General features: G+C 37.3%; 1 protein-coding gene across 10 annotated transcripts in view; it reads right to left on the bottom strand.

The window, feature by feature from the left end:
- DNAH8 (dynein axonemal heavy chain 8) overlaps window positions 1-23540 on the bottom strand; it is a 315482-nt gene that overhangs the window by 179629 nt on the left and 112313 nt on the right. For 9 of the 10 annotated variants that reach the window (XR_926078.3, NM_001206927.2, XM_011514319.3 and 6 more), the window contains 9 exons: window positions 22876-22980; window positions 18729-18842; window positions 16523-16585; window positions 13122-13222; window positions 8659-8796; window positions 8261-8501; window positions 5391-5590; window positions 2363-2516; window positions 750-913 (listed from right to left, as the gene is read on the bottom strand). Coding sequence is in view for 9 of the 10 variants with exons in the window: in NM_001206927.2 (NP_001193856.1) it covers window positions 750-913; window positions 2363-2516; window positions 5391-5590; window positions 8261-8501; window positions 8659-8796; window positions 13122-13222; window positions 16523-16585; window positions 18729-18842; window positions 22876-22980 (1280 nt within the window). In the remaining variant the exon portion in view is untranslated. The remainder of the gene's footprint in view (window positions 1-749; window positions 914-2362; window positions 2517-5390; window positions 5591-8260; window positions 8502-8658; window positions 8797-13121; window positions 13223-16522; window positions 16586-18728; window positions 18843-22875; window positions 22981-23540) is intronic. The other variant, XM_011514318.3, reaches the window with a different exon arrangement.

The raw sequence follows: 23540 nt of genomic DNA, 5'->3' as shown, positions 1-23540 counted from the left end.
TTATCACCCTATTTCAAATAGAGATTGAAAATGAACTGCCTTAAAAAAATTATCCTGACACCATCCTCTTGTGACAGTAAAAATAAAATAAAATAAAAATGATATTTGAGTTTGGTGAGTTGTTCTCTTAGTGCACATTTCTATTCTACGCCTGCAGTGGCTTGAATTTTAGCCCTCAAAAAGACATGTCCAGGTCCTATTCCCTGAAATCCTGAAGCATGACCTTATTTGGAAAAAGGGCTTTTGCAGAGGGAGTGAAGTTAAGGATCTTGAAGAGCCCTGAATCCAGTGACAAATGTCGTCATAAGAGACACACAGGAAGAGGAGAAGAAGGCCAAGTGAAGACAGAGACAGAGATTGGAGTTATGAAGGCATGAACCAAGAAACTCCTAGAGCCACCAGAAGCCAAAAGAGGCAAGGGAGGATCCTCTCTTAGAGCCTTCAGAGGGAGCCAACACCTTGATTTCAGACTTCTTGTCTCCACAACTGTGAGAATGAATTTCTGTTGCTTTAAGCCAACTGTCTGTGGAAATTTGTTATAGCAGCCTGACGAAACTAATACAATGCCTTAACCACCCCCAAGTCAAAGGTGTCTTCCTCACAGAAAAGTTCAATCTATGTGAAATTTTAAGTTCCTAGCCCCACTTTAACCATCACTACCAAACCAGAAATGTAGTCAATACTAGTAAGTTTGGGATAAAACACTGTCACATACAAAATGATATGTGATTTAAAAATTAAACTCTTACCCTGTGAGTGACTTCTGACATACTTCCAACTGCTCATGTAAATGAGGTAAAAGTTGTCCCATGGTTTCATCTCCAACACAGCAATTAATCACATTGGGATTCTCATGAGCTCGCTGCATTATTTTTATCCAAGACTTGTCAATATTCTGAAAACGTTTTGCTTCCTGAAAATGCATCCATAGCCAGTAAAGATTAGCATTTGGATAATTGAAAAAAAGCAAAGTCTTCACCTTGGAATTTTCTATAGTTCTTCAAACCAGCCTCTATTAGTCTCAGGCTGCATAATTTAAACAGACAATTTTTTTTCATTTGAATTAATTCTGAGCGACACAAACCCAAAGTTATAAAACTGCATATTAAAATGCTTCTTTATCACAATGAGGCTTATTGCTTATTTGTTTCATTGCATTTAACATGTTTTTCAAAGTACCACATGATTAATTTGCAGAGCTATCAACTTAAAGTTCCAATCTAGTGTTTCAGCACCCCAGGTGTTTTGGTTTGAGGAGCAAACTGAAGAAGCATGAAAATAATTTGATCTCAGGATCCTTGGAATAATTACAGCTCAATAGTACCCCAAGGCGGGGAAAAAAAGAAAAAAGACAGTAAAGCCACAAAACAAAGTTTCATTTACATTTTCGCAAGTGAAAATTTTCTATTTACTATGAATGATATTAAGCTTTGTACTTAGCTGCAAAAATGCCTCTAGCAATTGGCATAATCTTTCCTCTTTTAAAAATACAGACTTCTGATTAAAAAACAAAAATGATACATTTCAGTTTAATGTTTTAAAAATGTGCTATTAGTACAAAGGAAATCGGCCATTTTCAAAAAAAAAAAAAGCAAAAAAAAAACCTCTTTTATCCTTGATTTTTAACCTATATAGATCTTGCTTGTAAATACAGAAGTTTAGGAAGATCAGGCTTAATTTTCTAATAGCAAAGTTACCTTCATCGACTAAACCTATCAGTTATTACAGTTATTGGCATTTATTTAAAAGGCCCCAATAGAGCTGTTTTAAAGGTTTTGTTACAGCCTCCCAAGGCTGTTTTCTTGCTCCACAGCATGTTCTGATCTGCTAGTAGTAGACTTAGTAATAATTAACTAAAGTTGATCTGTGCTTACAGAATATAGATTAATTTTAATATTATTCTCAGAGGAATATTATGAGGTTAACTCTTAGAAGACATGAACTACTATAATAGTACTGCATTTGAATGTACCTCACATCCTCAAACAACCTCGAGATTATTCACTGTTTAAAACTATGTAAGTTTCTTCTTTCTGCTAATCAGAGGTCAGCACTTCCTAAAAAACTTTTTCTGTGAAGGGCCAGATAGTAAAGATTTTAGACTTTTTGGGCCGTATAATCTCAGTTATAACTACTCAACTCTGCTGTTGTGGTGCTACAGCAGCCACAGACAATATATAAAAGAATGGATGTGGTTGTGTTCCAATAAAACTTTATTTACAAAAACAGGCAAGTGGGCCATAGTTTGCCAAACCCCATCATAGTCAAGCCTTGACCATATGTCTTTGTGAAGACTTTTACAGAGACATATAGACAACATACACCAAATTATTTTATCAGTAATTACAAAAGCCATATTTACCTGAGGCAGCTGTTTGGCAATATCTCCACCTACAAAGACGGCTTCAAGATAAACCCAAAGGTTCTGTACTACGAGCCACTCTTCAATTATATCTGAGGAAGTGGACAATTTATACACCCAATTCTGGATATTTTTTTTAAATGGAGCATTGTATCTAAAAGGTAAGAACGGAAAAAATCACATTTCAAAGAAGATTCAGAAAATAGTATGGCCTTACCGAAGTAAATTCCAGAAGAAATATTACTTTGGGAATGAATGTTTTGTCCTTAAAGGGCAGTTCCTAATAGATATCATACAGCTAATAAAAACTGTTGCTTTTCATGAATAAAACTCATATAACTGCAGTGATTTTACTTATTGTTCCCATGTGTCAGTCATAGAATAGGAGAATGGGCCTAGTTTTATGGTGCATAGGTCCAGCAAAGGAACTGTGCTGGTTGCTTCTGGGAGTAAATGCCAAGCAAGGAATAAGATGGTTTTCCAAAAAGTCTGTGAACCAAATCCAAGTGGGGTCTGCTTGTGAGAGTAACATGTGAGACACTGTTACTGGTCTGTGGAACTACTGAATCTAGGAAAAGAGAACACTATCCAGGGATTTTCCTTTTATGAATGGTCTTGAAGGTTTCATCCAGCAAGAGACAGACTATCTCTAAAGGGACAGGACAAATCAGATCCCTAAAGATCAGGAGAGGGTTAGGTATCACCAGGTTCACCTGGAGAAGATGACCGCACAGCCAGAGTCAAGCTTGAAGTCTGATGTTCACTTACAGGTGTGCTCTTCCCACCCACAGAGAGAGAATTACACCAGGTACTACAACTAGATTCTGCAGAGCTAGAGACCCAGGGTTGCTACCCCCATATAGCAGGGCTCCTGTTTTCTGATCATCAGGGCTTGCTGAAGTGTTTATGAGAATACAAGGGGTCCAGAAAGCTGAGCACAACAAAGGAGGACAAGAAATAGAATGGATGCCATGGAGGAAGCAATGGGAGGCTACTGGGTAAAAACCCCAACTACCTACAGTTAGAGCAAGAAGCCGACTGCAGTGTGTAGCAAGGGCAAGCAGTTTCAATGTGGTGCAGTGACATTTGCTGGTGAGTGGCACTTGTTGACTAGGATCTTCAAACTTCTTCTGATCTAGGACAGAGTGATTCACATGTAGAATGGGGTTTTTTCTGGGTACGGTCTGATGCCTGAATACAACTCATAATTTCCCTGAAAGCCTATGTTATACATGAAGTTATAAATGGAGTTGTACATAAATTGCTCTAAGGAGGTAGGTAATCCAGTTGTTCAGGCAGTAAGAAGCATTTTTCCCAATACTCAGTTTATGCTGTTTCCCTGGCCACTGGTCGAGAGCTGAAAGGCAGTCAATATGCCAAAAACATCTTCCAAATAAGGACATGTAAACCAACATGGCATGGGCAGGCATTTAGGGAGATGAAGCAACTAGATAGGCCAAAATTGTTCTGCACAGAAAAAAAAGAGTCATCCTTGATGGTGTATAACTTCTAAAGATGGAAAAGGGAGATCTGAAATAAAATCGAGCATAGCTAGTTTCTGTCCTTTGGCTAGATACCTGCATTGTACAACTTTGTGTGGTCAAACCCACCATGGCCCATGAAGTCCCATGGAATCAGGGATCCACCAGGGAAGTGTCACAATCCAGGCAATACCTACAGTCAAGTCTTACCGAAGGAGACATACAGCTTCCTTCTGAAGTCACATCAAAGTAGTCCTAGGGATCCAGCAGGTATGACTCACTACTAGGTCAGTCTGTGGTTAGTTCTGGAACAGGCTTTCCAGACCTACTTGGCACTGCAAAGTTCTCTAGGAAGAGAATCTCCCAGAATTTGATGACTTCTTAGCTATCCTTATACTCTTTCTGGCAGGGCCTAGAAGTTTGTAAACATTGAGTTTACTAATAACACAAATAGGTATTTTACTCATCAGGTTATGTCCAAGTAAGTATGAATTGAAGAAAGCCTTCAAATCCTGAATTTCTTGGCTGCAGACACTGCCCAGGTGAATCTACAGCCCTTCATCAAGAGGTCATCATCCAGGAAGTCAGATGGGCAAAATTTGCAATGAACCATAGGGCAGCAGTTGCCCATGAAGTCTAGGAAGTACTGAATATCCTATGGTCATCTTTGCCAGGATTCTCTGAACACAGAGGATGCATCCGAGGACCTTGACCTTTATATATTCAACCCAGAACTCCCTGGACTGGCAGCTTTGTCATTATGCAAATACAAGACTGCCCCTGGAGCCAGAGGTCATGCAGCATGCAACTCACTAACCAGTGATCCCAACGTGGAAAAGGGATATTAGCTATTTCTTAGGTGTGTTCAGGTGAAGAATAGTTGAGAACTACTGCACAGTCGGCCAGAGGAATAGAGGTTGCCAGTGCCAAAGACCTGACAGAATATTTAATCTGAGTCCTACAGGAATTTCCTAAAGCTGCACTCAAGATCATAGGCACCTCCAAGCTGGTTCGTAGTTCAATGATGAACAGGTGACCTCATTCAGGCCATAATGGTCTCAGGCTCTTTTCACCATAAAAAATGAAAGTCTCTAAGTAAGTGCCAAGCCCCTAATGGGTAGATTGCTGTAGTGGTAGATTGCTCTCACGGGTGGCCAGCAGGCTTTTCCCGGGCCATTGGGTGAATGTTTGAACAGGATTAGCCAAGAGGTCAATGATGTCAGAGGAACAAAGGAGAGAAAAGATGAAATGAAGAGGTCATCTCAGTGGGGAGCCAAGACCTTCAGAGGACAAGATGCCAGTCTGGGGAGGAATAATTAGGATGGGGCCCACCAGGAAAAATAGGGAAGGGGAGATGAGTACCATTAAAGAAGAGATGGAGGCCATGATTATTAGGGAAAACGGGCAGTTTGTATAGGAACAGACAAGATAATACCAAATTTAGTGCAGAATCCATCCAATGAAAGAGCTTTAAAACTGAGCTTTTACTTAGAATTTTATAACCCTAAATATCCCATTTAAATCTCTCTCTCAAATTATAAAATTACCTGTTGCTGAGTAAAGACCCTAAGACCATTAAACTATCCTCCATCAAAGTGATAATTTCTCCCGATTCGGTTCCTTTGAGCAGGAGCTCTCCTTTTCCCTTAAATGCTGCAAAACTCAGATTTTGGTTGGTCCAATTCTCAATCACCTGAGTCAGCTTGGCTTCGATATCCTTCTCCTTAATGGCAGATATGCAAATATCCTTTGAAGGAAAAGCAAAGTATATGTCATGATGTTTTCAACTACAAATTAAGTGCATCATCAAATCATAGAATTTTTTTTTTGCTTGAAAGGGACCTGTAAGTCACCCAGTTCATTTAGTCATTTTACAGCCAAGAAAAGGCTTCAGATCATTGTGTTGCAACTTGACACTAGAGCCTTACTAATTATTTACTAATCGCCGACTACTAATTATTTTTCTGTACCACATACATGAAACAATGGAACTTAAATCATCATTTTTCAGATTATGTTTTCAATTCGAACTTTTGGCTAAAATGGGGATAATCACAGCTGCCCTGTTTATCCCAGAGATTAGCTATGAGATTCAAATGAGAATATACATAAGAGTCTTTTGAACTCTTTCAAGTAACATATAGATATTACTATATTTCTGCCTGTTCTGGTCCTAATATGAATATCTCATTTGCTTAAGCATCAGTTGTTTTTTTCTTATGGGTTTTTCTATATTTTTTTTTTGAGAATACTTAATAAGAAAGACTCACGAAAGAAAATAAAAGTAACATATTTTCCCCACAATGCCTCAATGTGTGTTCATAGTTAGAATCACAGAGATGAAAAAGAATTTAAAGGTGTGAGATGTTTCCACAAATGATCTTAACACAAATTACTGTGTAATAAATGTCCTAAGAATGATGTGAACCATGGTGATTTCTGAGGAGGGAGGTCTGTGCTGAGGAGGAACAGCTTCGTAGAGGAGGAGGTGAGATTCCAGCAGAGACTCTCTGGGAGGAAGAGGAAATTCTGTACTGAAGGGAAGCCTTCCTTTAGAGGCAGTGAGTCCAGTAACAGCAGGAATCTAATTTGGCTAATGGTACAGCATGTGTGGCTGAGCAACTAGATGTATCTGGGGTAGACAGTACCAAGACTCTGTTTTGTGTACCAAGAGTCATTAACAGAAGCCTGGAATTACTTGAAATTGTATAATAAAGCACAGCCTACGAATGGCTATATTATTAAGTATAAAAACCTACTTATAAGAAGGAGATGGTCACCAAAGTGTTTCTACCTCTTTGTTTCTTAGTGATATTTACAAATAGGACAAAAATGCTTTGAAAGAAAAGCTTTTTGTGCACACATGTTGTTAAAAAGAGGTAGGGGAAGGCAGAAAACCCAAACCATATATTTGGGAGATTTCTGGTCACATGGTGCATTTTCTCAACTCCAAAAACATAGAATAATGGATAAAATAATTTTTTTAAAGTAAGTAAAAAAGCAAACAGAGCCAGACTTAAAAAAAAGACAAACATATCCATGAACCAAAAGTGGAAAAGCTATGCAAACCAGTTGGTGGAGCTGAAACACAGGCCTGAGGCCTGGACACTGGGGCCAGGCCTTTGGTTCCCATGGGGTGAAGAAGAGTAAAAATGATCTATAGGAAAAGGAGTACCTGGGCTGGGGTCTAAAGCCCTCCATTCATGGAAGGAGGCTGAAAACACTGCCTCTAGCTGCCATCTAGGCAACTAGATTTAATGGAACTGTGGACCTGGGGGATGGGGTGACACAAAACCAGCCCCACAACCAGGACCTGAAATAGGTCAGCACATTCCTGGATCATCACACCACAGCACAGTAGAGGAAGGAGACCGCTATTACAACACCTGGCTCTCAACTTGGGGCTGAGGGGACATGGACAGTGTAGGAGGCAACCACAAAGCCACTAGACAAGGAAAACGAAGACACAAACGGACAGAGACAATTTTAACACATTATATAAGCCAGAATTTTTGAAATCCTGCCCATTCAAAATGAGTCCTCCCAGCCACCCCAATAAAAATTACAAAACCCATGAAAAAAATCTAAGGCTCAGAGGATAGCCAACATAAAAAACAATCACAGCAAAAATTCAGTCCAGGTGAAATTAATCTTAAAGAAGAATCTGAAAACATCTTTATGTTTAATTTGGAGTTGTTGAAGTATAGATAAAGATAGTATAGATAAAATAATATTGGCCATGAGTTGATAAATGCTAGAGCAAGGAGATCTTTACTTTTGTATGTGTTTAAAATTTTCCCTAATGAAAAATGTTTAAATAATTATGTTTAAAATGCTCAAAGAGATAAGCGAAGACATCTATAAATCTATAGATTTGAAACCTACAGATCTGGGAATATATATAGATTTAAGACTGTAGATCTAAGAATCTACAAAAGGGACAGAAAATTTTTAATGAAAAAATGAAAAAAAAAGATTGGCCACAAAAAAGAATGAATTAAAAATCTTGGAAAGGAAAAATGTAATAATAGAAAATTCTAAAAACTTAATAGACTGAACAGGAAAAAGCATAAAATTAGAAATTTGGAAAATAGTTCAGAGGGATTCACCAAGAACACAATACATAAATAAACAAATTTTTTTTAAGTGGAAGTGCATTCTGGGGACAAGGAAGATGTATTGAAGGGTTCCAGAACAAATGTATTTCAAATAATGTATTTCAAATAATCATATAATCTCATTGAGTTACAAGATTATTTCATAAAAGTCAAGAATGTTCAGGATCATTCCAAATTTTGAGGGTGCATTATAGAGGGCAATTAGTCCAACCTCTCATAAAATATCTGTACAACTCCCAGAAAAGAAAAAGCAGACATTCTTTAATGGATCATTGATAAGAACGTATACACTTATGTACCTCAATATCATCCTTATGTTTAAGGAGTGGTGCTTCCATGATATTTCTAAGGCAAAAAGAATCAGATTCCACATCAAATGGGGTTCCAGTTAACTCGGAGATTCTATCCCAGTGTCTCTGTTTCATGGCCTTATTGGTCATCATTTCCAGTAGAGGACATGACTCACTGAAATCATCAATTCTCTTTTTGAGATCCAAAAAAGCTTGCCAATCTTTAAGTCCTTTTGGAAGTTTACGACATCTTTCAGAAAGAAAGAGAAAAAAAATATGCCACCTTCACATTTATTTGAGGAAGGTTTTATGTATATACACTATTATATTAGGGAATAAATTAGCTTCTGAAATACCTATAGGATCCTAAGAAGACAGGCATTATAAAAAATTCCATTGAAACTCACCTGTTTTGAAATTCCAGCAGTTCTGCATTAATTTTTTCAATATCTACATCTCCCCAAAGTATTTCATAATAACCACTAATACTGCTCATTACGGTGTCATACAATCCATACAGCTTCTGCAGCAAGTTGAGTTCTTTTCTGGGAAACAAAGTAACTAAGTTATCACATCATGTATAATATTTAATAAAGTCCATTATTGGAAAGGCAGAGTTCATCCAATCAAATATTTCATACATTGCGTGTACAATGTCTTATAGATACCAAATGCATACAACTATATCCATTTTCAATACAAAGACTTCGTTAAAGATCTGTCATTAAGGCCAAGTTTACTGCTCCCAAATATTCCAAGTCAGACTATAACTTGACATTAGCAAATGGTTTATTCTGTAAAGAAAAAAAATCTTGCTACTTTTTAATGAGAAACTTACTATACCAATCATTGCAAACAATGTGACCAAAACTTAATGATAAGGTCATAGCTGCGGCTAAGGTTTCATTTGACTTTTTTTTCTTTCAAATACAAGCTGGATTTTATGAGAACATTTCCCTTGACTAAGCCCTGATCTGCCTTTAAGATTGAGCTTAAACACCCTATTCCTACCAGAAGTTTTCCCTCATGTGGCCAGGTGTGGTGGCATGTGACTGTAGTCCCAGCTACTTGGGAGGCTGATGTGAAAGGACTGCTTGAGCCCAGGAGTTCAAGGATGCAGTGAGCTATGATTGCACCACTGCACTCCAGCCTGGGCAACAGAACAAGATCCTATCCAAAAAAAAAAATCCCACATGTGCCCAGATGAAGTTACTGTGTTTAAAACAAGAATAAAAGGTCCAAGTAAAGGAAAATTCTTAAATGTGTAAAACACCAAATTGACCACTCAACAGAATTTGTGGATTCTCCCAGAAATTCCTCAGCCCTTAGTATGCCATAAGGTTCTACTGGATTCAGTTTTAGTTTTCAAGTTTATTTATAAGGATTGACATTCACAACTTTTATTCTTCATCAGAGATACTTCAAAAACCAAAAATAAATTTTGTAATGAAGTAAAAGTCGTTCTATCTTTTTATTTTATTTTATTTTATTTTTGAGAGAGAATCTCACTCTGTTGCCCAGGCTGGAGTGCAGTGGCACGATCTCGGCTCACCATAACCTCTGCCTCCTGGGTTCAAGCAATTCCCCTGCCTCAGCCTCCCGAGTAGCTGAGATTACAGGCAGATGCCACCACGCCCGGCTAATTTTTGTATTTTTAGTAGAGATGAGGTCTCATCATGTTAGCTAGGCTGGTCTTGAACTCCTGATCTCAGGTGATCGGCCCGCCTCAGCCTCCCTAAGTGCTGGGATTATAGGCATGAGCTACGGCACCCAGCCCATTCTATCTTGTAATTACCATGTAGGCGTAGTAGATTTTACAAATCTAAGACACATTCTGCGATCTTAGTTGTCCTATTTTTTCAATTCTTGATTCATTTTTCATCATTCTTAGAATTATTTCATTACCACTTATTATTATTCTCAACTATGCTAAAAATGACTAAAAAAAATAAGAAAAGAGAATGATGACATTGCCTAAAGGGTAATGCAACAGTGAAAAAAAAATGACTACTGCATCATCCTCCAGGCTTCTTACTGTATAACATAAAGTATTGCAAAATCTTTCAAAAAAGTATATAAAAAGAATGCCAGAGACACCATTTTTGTTGTCTTTTGATTTTTGCTTGTTTAATACAGTTGCTTTCATTTAATACAGTTAAGAATTCAGAATTTTTCATTTTCTACCTAAAAGGGTAAAGAGAAGAAAATTGACAAAGAAATGTGTTTCCCAAGTATTAAACAGGAAAGAGAAAGCAGCATTCCCTTTTGATGGTGAAATTGATTAATATGTGAAATCTCATACTATGTCTTCAGATGATCATAACCTAGATGAATTTTATAAAATCCAGTAATTTATAAGTAAACAATATATTTCCGTAGACTTCAATAGAAATAAGGGCCTTATCATGCAATATTTTGCAACAAGAACCTAAACTATTCCATTTTGTGAAAAAGATAAGTGACAGTGTTCCTTCATTATTTATATTTACATAAGTTGTATTTGATACATTTCATAAGTGGACAAATGTTGAAGTCAGATGTGTATTCAAGGAAATAGATGATTTAGAAATTTAAAATTTCTTGGAATTGATCATTCAAATCTAAAAGTAAAGTCTTCAATATTTATGAAGCAAAACAGATGACAGTCTTCTCTTAAAAAAATGATGACTGTCCGAGTTTTCAACAGCTTTGAGTCTTGACAATGCAAGTGCAAGAAAAGTCAGAATTAATGATAAGCCACAGATCCATTGGAGATGATTTAAAATATGAAATCCATATTTACAGCATGGATATGCTCCAGGTTCACACATGACAGCCGATGAGGAGTTAGTCTCATTCAGTGCTGGTCCCCATTTTGTATATATACATCTTCAAACTAGGATATTACAGAATAAAAGTTTGAGTTTACTCTGCTTAAATTATTATTAAATCTTCTAATAAAAGTGCTTCTTCACCGGACATGGTGGCCCACACCTGTAATCCCAGCACTTTGGGAGGCCAAGGCAGGCAGATCATCTGAGGTCAGGAGTTTGAGACCAGCCTGACCAACATGATGAAACCCCGTCTCTACTAAAAATATAAAATTAGCCGGGCATGGTGGCACATGCCTATAATCCCAGCTACTCGGGAGGCCGAGGCAGGCGAATCACTTGAACCCAGCAGGTGGAGGTTGCTGTGAGCCGAGATCATGTCATTGCACTCCAGCCTGGGCAACAAGAGTGAAACTCCGTCTCAAAAAAAAAAAAAGTGCTTCTCGGTTGGGTGCGGGTGCTCACACCTGAAATCTCAACACAATGGGAGGCCGAGGTGGGAGGATCACTTGAGCCCCAAAGTTCAAGACCAGCCTGGGCAACATAAGGAGACTCCTGTATGTATAAAAAATTTTTTAAAAATTACCTGGGCCCAGTGGTATGCACCTATAATCCCCACTACCTGGGAGGCTGAGGCAGGAGGATCACTTGAACTACGGAAGTCGAGTGATTCCACCACTACACTCCAGTACTAGCAACAGAGTGAGATCCTGTCTCAAAAAAAAAACAAAACAAACAAAAAAAAAACTTCAAAGCTTCTCACCATTCTCACCATTCTCTAAAATTATTCATAAAATTTAAAATATCAAAATGAAAATGGTCTGTTGGTCCAGATGGTAAATGGTGATGATGATTTCTCCTGCTAGCCTGAGGGTGAACGCATTGGATCTCAGGCTGAGTGTGCATCACAGTCACCTGGAGAGTGTGTAAAATGCAGATTTTCTGGGACCCAATCCCAGAGGTTCTGATTCAGTAAATCAGAAATGAGGGCCAGACATCCGCAATTCTAACACAATTGGCTAATGGATTACGTTTGGAGAATGACTGTTTTAGAAAGAGAATACAAACCACCTACCCTAAATGGCTGAAGCATTCATTTCTCTTCAGAAAATTTCATGTCTATTTTCATGAAATTTTCACGTTGTGGCTTTGAAGGAAGTCAACATAAACTTATTTTCTAAAGCCAAGACTCTAATGAGCTAATACTATCACTGTATTAATGTTGCTTTTAAGGAAAGTTATATTTCAAATTCTTTAAGAATATTCTAAAATTTGATTGAAATACACTTGTTTATATGTGTGGTTTATAATCAATTAGCTTATTTGGACGTCAATCTCAATAAATTCTATGTCTACCCAATGGGGAAGAGCATTTTACCACAAATGGAGTAAGAAGGCAAGGGGAGCCAGGCGTGGTGGCTCACGCCTGTAATCCCAGCACTTTGGGAGGCCGAGGCAGGCGGATCACGAGGTCAGGAGATCGAGACCATCCTGGCTAACATGGTGAAACCCCGTCTCTACTAAAAACACAAAAAAATTAGCCGGCCATGGTGGTAGGAGCCTGTAGTCCCAGCTATTCGGAAGGCTGAGGCAGGAGAATAGCATGAATCCGGGAGGCAGAGCTTGCAGTGAGCCGAGATTGCGCCACTGCACTCCAGCCTGGGCAACAGAGCGAGACTCTGTCTCAAAAAAAAAAGAAGGCAAGGGGAGCCAGGAAGGTTATTCCTCTAAATAAACAAAAGTTACTCAAAATTGCTGTGCTTCTGCATAATCACTGACACTATGCAAAAACAGTCAAAAGAAAAAGTAAAGCATAGGCTAAATATAGACCATGCATGCTCAAAATTTTAGCAACATATTTTTTACTCCCCTAGAACGTTTCTTTTGTATAGGAGACTGTGTGTCCAATTTGTAAAGAATAGCTGGAATAAGGAGAATATTCAGTTGTGCTCCAAGCTGTAGTGTCCTCTGCATGATAAAGGATTTAATGGTGACATGATTCTTCTAATAGATAGTATTTAATTATTTGCATGTAATACTTGCTTATTTTCTAAACTTACCTGGTTTTGTGTAAAACCTCATAATCAGTCACAGGCAATCCAAAAAGTTGTTCACCAGATGAATACGTAACAAATTTCCTCCACAGATCATCGAAACTGGCCTGTAACAAAGGTTTTTAAATTGTACTAAAATACAATTAATTCAGTAGAATTAAAGTGGAATTTATTTTCATTGGGATAAAAGCTAGGTTGAGGTTTATTAAGTAATAGCTATAAAATAAGGATTTGTGAAGCAAATTTATACTGATACCAAGCTATCAGAGAAAAAGTTAAACACTTAGGAAAGTTCGCTTTCAAGCATTCTAAAAGCATTCATTTTATATAAAATTATTTCTTCTTCTTCTCCAGAAGGCCTATATTTCGAGTTCCCATAAGTACATCTAAAAGTAATAAAGCTGCATTTTTAAAACTCTACAATTCAGGATTTTTCAGTAATTTAGACTGGCCATCTCTATCCTACAGGGCTCAAATGAGCAAAGTGTTAGTCTAATCCATTCAGTCCTGTTTTCTGTACATGCAATGAAGAGTCTATAAAAAAGAAGATCCAATTTTAACACCATTTGAAATAATTCTAACAACTTAAATCACCAAAGTTAATGCACATGTCTTTTAATTTTTCCTTTTGAATTGGGATTTGAATATCCTATATTTGGGATGCTAAATATTAGCAATGTTCAAAGCACAAATGCCAACAGAAGTAACCCATCTGTGAGGACATATGAGCACTCTGTGTAAGTGGTACAGCATATTCCCGAGAACCCTAAATTCCCAGCCCTGGAGAATATCCAGCATCAGACCTCACAAGGCTTAGACAAAAATACAGATCTGACAGATACGTTAGTATATTTTACAGGACCCAGATCAGGAAGGCATGAAGATACCAGGTGAACTCGAATGAACTCTTAGTTCCTAGAGGGCAAGTGCCATATTTTGTACTTTGTGTATTCCTTGGTGGTTGGCATGGTGGTTATTCAATAAATGTACTGAATGAAGAGTCCATAGGACTCTTCACTATGAAGAGTGGGACTATGTGAACACTAAGGAAGGATAAACAATAACACTAAAGTTAGAATACATTAAAATAATGGTGTTTAAAAACTCATCAATGTGTAAAGACTATTGATGGATGCTAATCACTCACCTTTTTTTTCCTTCAGGTTGCAAGTAACATAAAAACACCCACAGCATCAGCTGAACAGGAATAAAGTATCAGCTTTGTCAACAGGCCAGCAGGGTGCCCAAGAACTCCCCAAAATAAATTTGCATGAGAGAGCACCATCAGGACCCAAGGCCCAATATAAGGCACCTCTGCCTTCACACATCCAGCCTTTGGCACCTGTTTTTTTTAGGGGGTTGGAGTACATCTCATTTTGAAAAGGGTTGTGTCTACAAATCTGACCTCAAGTCACATATCCCAGTGAAGTGCATGCCAAACAGCCTGTTTGGCTCACACCTCGAGAGACAGGCAGAACAGAAGGTACAGAAAGGCAAAAGATGTGCCCTACATTGCCTTTTTTTTTTTTTTTGAGATGGTTTTTTTGTTGTTGTTGTTGTTTTGTTGGGTTTTTTTGTTGTTGTTGTTTTGTTTTTTTTTTTGAGATGGAGTCTTGCTCTCTTGCCCAGGCTGGAGTGCAGTGGTGCAATCTTGGCTCACTGCAACCTTCGCCTCCCAGGTTCAAGCAATTCTCCTGCCTCAGCCTCCTGAGTAGCTGGGATTACAGGCACATGCCACAATACCTGGCTACATTAGCAACCACACCCCTGGGTAAAATCTTGGCACATAATGTCCCAGTTGCTGACTAATCAGTTGGTTTACATCACATGCCCTAAATTTTCTCTGCAAACTTGAAAACAAGGTCATCCGCTCAAACAAGCCCCAAAGCTACTCCTCCTACTACATGCCCTCCTTCGATAAGTAGTTCTACCTTCGTCAATATGCCCAAGTTGGAAACCTTTAACTTTTTCCCTCAAACCAGGTTTCAGGCCCGTCAATTCTGCTTCGTTAATAAATTCATGATCCATCCAATTTTCTTCATTATACAGGTGTCACTTGCTTGGTCTCCCTCTTTACAATTTCTTGCTTTTACTACCAAAACTGCCCTCAGTTTGATCTTCCTCTCTCCAAACCAGTCTCTACATTAGTACCACTAAAAATCTTTAAAAAACCAACTATTTTAAAAATTCAAGTATGATCATATCACTCCCTGCTTAGAACCCTCCAACCCTCAAGATAGAATTCAGACTCCTTATTATTGCCTACCGGGCCCTCCACTGGTGCTCGCTGCCCACTCTGTCACCTCGTTCCTCACCACTATCCTCTTTAGTACCGCATCCCAAAGGTACACGACCCCACCCTGCACTCCTTACATCTCCCCATATTGCCCTACTAGTTTCCTCTCTGCCGGGCCTTTGTATGAGCTGCAAATTCTGCCTAACTTTCTTTTTCCCCTCCGTCTTCCCCTGGCTAACTCTAATTAGTCCTTCAAGATGCAGCTTAGATTCTTCCTCTTTCAGGAAGCCTTCTCCATCTGCTCTAACAGCCCATCTGTTTCCATTACACAATTTCACATACCTAGGTCACAGCTCTCATCGCACTTGCAGTTTTCTCTCTAGCTTGCTATCTCTCTATCAGATTTTAGCAGCTTAGAGGTAAGAACCACTTCTTCATCAAATTTCTCCTGAGCAAGCCACACAGTAGGCATCTGATCTTTTTTTTTTTTTTTTGATTACTAAGAATGCAGGTGGGAAAGGGGACATGAAAAGAACTAATCACACTATTCAGCCACTGTGGGAAACAGGAAAAAGAGCAGGAGCAAAGAAGAGAATTGCTTGATGCTCCTGAGGAGGAAGTTCACATAGGAATCCATGAATTTGCAAAGTATTAATCCATGTGGATGTGTGAACTTTCTCTAGACGCGCTCAGCAATCCGAGTGTAGAAAAAGATGGTGAATGGTTGGCCTGATCCAATGAGTATTGTACAGGCAGAGGAGATAGGACAAAGAAGTAGGGAAACTTAAAGAGATGGATGCAAAAGGAAGACAAAATAATGAATACAGAGGGAAAACATTTGCCAATATTTAAAATATTATTTTGATAAATTTTACTATACTATGATTTCTTATTACTTTACATATCAAATGAAATGCTTAGAACTAAAATAAGTTATATTCTTAAGTTGAGAATCAGTCTTATTCTCTAAAAATACAGAGAGCTATTCTGTGGAGAGGAGCATGGAGGGAGACAGAGGAGTCAATTGCATCATTTAGCAGATTAGAATACAATTAAGGACTGATGTACTTGAAATACAAACTTTTCTATTAAAAAGTAAAACCTCCATCTTTCCCCAAAATAATTTTTTAAATTACACATTGTCGATGTAACAAAAAAAATGTGGTTTCACCTGAAATATCTGTAGCCTGTTGCTAGCTTCTTGGGGTGGTATATTTGGAACCATAGGTCCTTCCTGTAAGGAAGAATATAATCTCCATTTTCATTCTTAATCATATGTATTTGTCAGTTTATTGGGTTTATCTATTATTTCCATTTAAGTAAACAAGCATTTTTTTAATTTAAATTATTTAATTGTGTCCTGTACTTGAAGCTTTTATTTATTTCTAACAGCTTTATTGAGATGGAATTCACATACTATACAATTCATTCATTTAAAGTGTACAAGTCAATGATTTTTAGTACATTCACAGGGTTGTGCAACCATGACCACAATCATTTAGAACATTTTCATCACTCTATCTTCCATTCATTTTTAAAGGACCTTGACAGAGCTAATAAAAAATGTGACAAAATTACATTCTATATGGAGTGTGTACCCCAAGGGCTCTGCCAAATTTCATTTATGATTACAAATGATGATGCTGTGTTTGTGCATTAGAATAACTGATACAGAGTTCTGAGAACATCCTCTTTTTAATAACTGTTCAGCCCAATATGGAAATAGGGACACATGTAAATTGAATATTTGGAAGAAGCAGAAAGCAGTGTCTGGTGGCTATGAACCAGAACACAGTTGCAAAATAATCCTCAAAAACACTCCCCAAAATAAGCAAAGGAATAAATGAATTTATAGCAACAAATTAAAATAACAGGGGCTACTCCCAATGGAAAAATGAAGGCTATTAAGTATATTAACATGGTCAATCATGATATGATAGATATACTAAATAATAGACTAGATTCCCAATATAATAGTGTTTAAAAAGTAAACTGAGGCCCAATAATTTTTTTTTTAAGTTTATCTGAGCACACAGTAATTCATAAATTGGGAAACTCCCAACTAGACTTGGTTCAGGGTCTCCACTGCAGAAGGCTTTTACAGAGTGAGCACAGAAGTAATGCAAAGAAAACATTTTATTGGTTTCATTTATAAAGTTGTCTTCTTTGGTCTATTCTGCTGGAAAGTCCCCAGTTATATAATTATGGGCTTGTTTGCGGCTTCTGATTAGTTAAGCTGTTTCTAATATAGGCATTTATAAGAAATAGTGTGTTCAGATTTGCTTATGTCTGCAAATTGTGGAAGGGCAAGGTAACTTAAGAAGCCTGACTGGCTGTGTCTGTTCAGGGATTCTTCAGACCTGGTCTCCATTTTAAATTTACTTTAACAATAGAATGAGGGGGCAAATCAACAGATATGTTTAGTACATGTTAAAAAAAAAACATTATATAAGTGACTGGCTGTGTCTGTTCAGGGACTCTTCAGACCTGGTCTCCATTTTAGATTTACTTTAACAATAGAATGAGGCAGCAAATCAACAGATATGTTTAGCACATGTTAAAAAAAAAAGCATTATATAAGTAGCACCAAGGGCTTAAATCATCTTATGAATACAGATCCACTGTGACCACTAAAAGAAAGAATATTTCAGGGGAACATATTCAGTCTTGAGTTTAACTTCAAGGTCAACATTATCAGTCAGAATACCAGTTTGAGTAGCATACGGGACTGACCCAGTATGACATCTATTATTTATTCTTAGGGACCTTTTTGGTTCTCTAAGAGTTAGTGAGAATGCAAAATCAATGGCATAATATCCTGGTATTAGAAGTTTATAGTTTCTCACGGCCTTCCAACAACTATATTACATTTTCTACCATGAGAATTCAGCCCCCGAGAAAAGACAAAACCAGACCCTTTGTTCCTTCCACAATCTCCAAAGTTGTTGCTCCTTTTAACAGTAAAATCTGTTTTCTTTCTCTATAAAATTTGCTTAAAGCAAGCTTGCCCAACCCACAGCCCACAGGCCACATGAAGCCCAGGACAGCTTTGAATGCAGCCCAACACAAATTCATAAACTTTCTTAAAACAGTATGAGATTTTTCTGCAATTTTTAAAAGCTAATCAGCTATCGTTAGTGTTAGCGTATTTTATGTGTGGCCCAGAAAAATTCTTCTTTTTCCAATATGGCCAAGGAAGCCAAAAGATTGGACATCCCTGGTTTAAAGGATTAGCTATCCCCTTTTTCTGATAGCTGCAAATACGCAAATATAGCCACATACATGCAACGTACCTATTCCTCAGGGTTCATCACTTTCATTTCATATAAACACATCACAGAACATTTCAACATACAGCAAGAAAATACTTAAATTACCAATTCATATGCTTCTGCAAAGTTTATCACGTCCTCACGAAAAACTTCCACAGACTCAAGTAGATTGCTTTTAAACTTTGGCTGCACTTGAACTAGGTCCTCTTGTACTGAAACCTACAATAAAAAAGAATATTCAACCTGAGAGTGAAAGTAACATATTAAAAACAAAAATTACAATTCTATTCCAACAAGTGTATCTCACAGATATCCTATATGAACAAGGAAGTCTCTGTTTGCTTGTAATAAAATATATTAATAACCCAAATGAACCTACAGGAGACTCAAATCATTCTAGCCTGACTCAAGAGGCAAAGCCAATTTCTCTGTAACTGTTTCTGGTTGATCCAGTTCAGGCCATCACTGTGACATGGGAGACAGATACTATTATTGGCATGGTCTGGGTCACATGTTGTCTGTGGGGCTAGGCCAAGACTTGGGATTAGCAATCTCTAATAAGGTCACATGCCTGCAGTCATTGGAGCAAATTCCTAAAAGAAAGTGATATTACTCTAGGTATTAAAAAAAAATAGCAAATACCCTACACAATGGTCCTGAAATACTCTGCTTAAACCTTCAATAATAATTGCCAGCACTTAAATAATGCTTGCTATCTGCCATGCTCTTTATATATGTTAACTCTTTTAATCTTTGTAACAACCCTATGAAGAAAATTGTAATATGCTAATATGATTACCATTTTACAGTTGAGAAAACTGAGGTACAGAGAGGCTAAGTAACTTCTCCAAAGTCCCACCACCAGCATCAGGCAAAGTCAAGATTCAAAACCTGGCTGTGTAGTTCCAGGGCCCCTGCTATTAACTGCTCTCAACAATAGCAGCTATCTTTAGATTGGAACATATATTACCTCAAGTTTAATGGTGACTGTAGTATAGAACAATCTATTTCTGCTAAAGGATGGGTTAGTGGGTTTAACACTAACCATTAAAGAGATAGAGGAACAACCTAAGTGAGTCTTTCTTTTTTCTTTTTTTTTTTTTTTTTTTTGAGATGGTGTCTCACTCTGTCACCAGGCTGGAGACTGGAGTGCAGTGGCACAATCTCAGTTCACTGCAGTCTCAACCTCTGGGGCTCAAGTGATCCTCCCACCTCAGCCTCCCAAATAGCCAGGACTACAGGTGTGTGCTGCCATTTCCAGCTAATTTTTGTATTTTTTGTAGAGACAAGGTTTTGACATGTTGCCCAGGCTGGTCTGGAACTCCTGGGCTCAAGTGATCCACCCATCTCAGCCTCCCAAAGTGCAGGGATTACAAGTGTGAGCCACCATGCTCAGCCATGAATCTTTTCCATTGATATAATAGCAGAAAACTGGGTTTCACTAAACCTCAACAGAGATTTCCTATTTCTTTTCTAAGACTCGCTCCTCTGACTAACCAGCAAGAGGAGTAAGCTATTAGTTAATATTGAATATGAATTTAAATAAACATGAGTTTATTTCTTTCAAAAAAGTATTTTATATACATTACCTCAAGTAAGCCTCATAGACACATAAAAAAATTATCCTTCCTAAATGACCCCAAGAAGAAGTTGAGAAACAAATGTTATTAACTTGCATAAAATCATCCAGTTGACTGGTAGTGGAGCTATAGTCACAAGCTGTGACCTCAGCTTCAGTTTTGTGTCTCCTTGCTGTTATGTCTTGCTTCAGTATAAGTGACAAATATTTCCATAAATAAGAAATGTTAAAGCCAATGTCCAATTTAATTAATATTCTATAAAATTCAGTATAATTAAAGGATGTAGGTCATCCCTTGGAGGTCTTTTTTTTTTTTTTTTTTTTTTTGAGATAGAGTCTTGCTCTGTTGCCCAGGCTGGAGTGCAGTGGCGCGATCTCGGCTCACTGGAAACTCCGCCTCCTGGGTTCACGTCTTTCTCCTGCCTCAGCCTCCCAAGTAGCTGGGACTACAGGTGCCTGCCACCATGCCTGGCTGATTTTTTTGTAATTTTAGTAGAGGCAGGGTTTCACTGTGTTAGCCAGGATGGTCTCGACCTCCTGAACTTGTGATCCACCCACCTCAGCCTCCCAAAGTGCTGGGATTACAGGCATGAGCCACCATGCCTGGCCCCTTGGAGTTCATTTTTAATGTCTAATTTTGGTGTATAAATGTTTATCAACTTCAAAAATGCTTAGAGAAATTTGTAGCTATCAAGTTCTACATTAAAAGAAAAAAAATCTCAAATCAGTAACCTCAACTTTGCAAATTAAACAAAGAGGAACAAATTAAACCCAGAGCAAGAAGAAAAGAAATGATAAAAACTAGAGCACAAATAAATGGTAGAGAGAATAGAAAAACAATAGAGAAAATCAACAAACCAAAGTTTTTTATTTGAAAAGACTGACAAAATTGACTACCTTTACCTAAACTAAGTAAGAATAAAGGAGAGAAGATGCAAATTACTAAAATTAGGAATGAAAAAGGGGACATCACTACCAGCCTAACAGAAATAGAAAGGACTATAAAGACACAATCAGCAGAGTGAACAGGCAACCTAGAAATGGTAGGGGAAAATGGAGAGTTGTTGTTTAAATAGAGTAACAGTTTTGCAAGATTTTTTGCAAGTTCTGGAGATTGGTTGCACAGCAATGTGAATATACTTAACACTACTAAAATGGTTAAGAAGGTAAATTTTATGTTACATGCATTTTGCCACTATTTTCTTTTTAAAGCTTAGCACAAAGCTACTATAATCAAGACAGTGTGGTGCTGGCATAAGGATAGGCATATAGATAAAAAGAATAGAAATTGAGAGTCTGAAATAAACTCTTACATCTATGATCAATTGATTTTCAGCAAGGCTACCAAGACAATTTGTTGGTGAAAGGATAGTTTTTTCAGTAAACAATGTCAATGCAACTGGATTATCTACATGCTTTTATATGAAGTCGAATCCCTAACTTATACCATATGCACAAATTAACTCAAAATGTATCAGAAATCAAAATTTAAGTGCTAAAGTTATAAAACTCTCATAAGAAAACATGGCAGTAAATCTTTGTAACTCTAGATTGGGCAATGGTTTCCCAGATAACATACCAAAAACACCAACAACAACAACAATAAAAAGATAAACTAGACTTCATCAAAGTAAAAAACTTTGTGCATCAAAAGACACCATCAATAAAGCGAAAAGATAACCCACAGAAGAGAAAACATTTGCAAATCACATATCTGATAAGAAACTTGTATCCATAATATATAAAGAATTCTTACAACTCAAAAGTAAAAAGACAACAAAATTTTTAAAAATCAAGCAAAGGATTTAAATTCACATCTCTCCAAATAAGATATACAAATGACCAATAAAATGGCCACATGAAAACATGCTCTATCTCATTAGGCATTAGGAAAATGAAGTCCTCGCACATGGACAATATGGATGAACTTTGAAAAATTATGTTAAATGAAAGAATCAAGTTACGAAAGACCATATATTGTATGATTTAGTCTACATTAAATGTCCAGAAAAGGAAAATCCACAGAAACAGAAAGTAGATTAGTGGTTGCCAGGGCTGGGGCAAGAGAGAGAATCAGGAGTGATTGCTAATGGGCACGGGGTTTCCTTTGTGGGGTGATAATGTTTTAAAATTAGACAATGATGGTGGTTAAGCAACAATGTGAATATACTAAAAAACACTGAATTGTATGCTTTAAAATGGTAAACTTTATGGTATGTGTATTCTATCTCAATAAAGCCATTAAAATAATTTACAGTCTCACATTGCTTGATGATGGTAATAGGCTGAGAAATGTGTCATTAGGTGATTTTGTCGTGTGAACATCATTGAGTGTACTTACACAAACCTAGAGGGATAGCCTACTGTACACCTAGGCTATATGGTATGGCCTATTGCTGCTAGGCTACAAACCTCTACAGCATGTTACTATACTGAATGCTGAAGGCAATTCTAGACAATGGTAAGCATTTGTGTATCTAAATATAGAAAAGGATCAGTAAAAATACAGTATTATAATCTTATGAGATCACCGTTGTATATGCAGTCTGTTGTTGACTGAAACATTGTTATGTGGCACATGACTGTATATTAAGCTTTAAAAAGGTATAAAATACCTTTTTTTTCTGGAGATAGTGACTTAAGAAAAAATAATGTAGTTAAATTCATACTTACAGCTTTGCTCTGCAATTTGTTGAAAGAATATCTTAAGGTATCAACTGCTTCTGATTCTTCTTTGGTTACTTCAACTTCAAATCTGTTTAAAATAGCATAGGCTTCCTGCAGGATGAAGGTGGAGTTTAGAAATATCACAAGGGAAAGCCATTGCCAAATGATTTAGACGCCTTCTAGAAACACATTCCTATGTCTTAGAAGAAGACAGCATGTTCTAGAAAAGTGGTTTCCAAAATTAAAAGTGTATGAAAAGCACCTTTAGATTCTGACTACCAGATACTAACTCTGGATCACAGGCTCTGAAATCTGCATTTAATAAGCACCTAGGTGATTCTGATGGAGATGTATATGTCTCTTTTTCCTCCTTGACCCTATGTCAACACCACGTAAGATACAGACTGTATTAAAACAGGGGTTGACTATACAAGGAACAGAATGAAATGATGTGGGAGATACTCCAAAGAAAAGAAACTTGAATGATCCAGGCTCCAAGGGATGACCAGTAATTGTCTTCACCAAAAAAAAAAAAAAAAAAAAAAAAAAAAAAAAAAAAAAGTTTGGTAAAGAATTAAGCTTTTGCAGTCAGGGAAAATTTGATATAATAATTTATTATATCTTGAAGTCTGGCTGGTCAGCATCCAAAATCCCCAAATACCACGATTTTT

Source organism: Homo sapiens, chromosome 6, assembly GCF_000001405.40.
Source record: "Homo sapiens chromosome 6, GRCh38.p14 Primary Assembly".
NCBI lineage: Eukaryota > Metazoa > Chordata > Mammalia > Primates > Hominidae > Homo > Homo sapiens.
The sequence above is the reverse complement of the archived record's forward strand: the minus strand, read 5'-3'. Positions and strand labels throughout refer to the sequence as shown.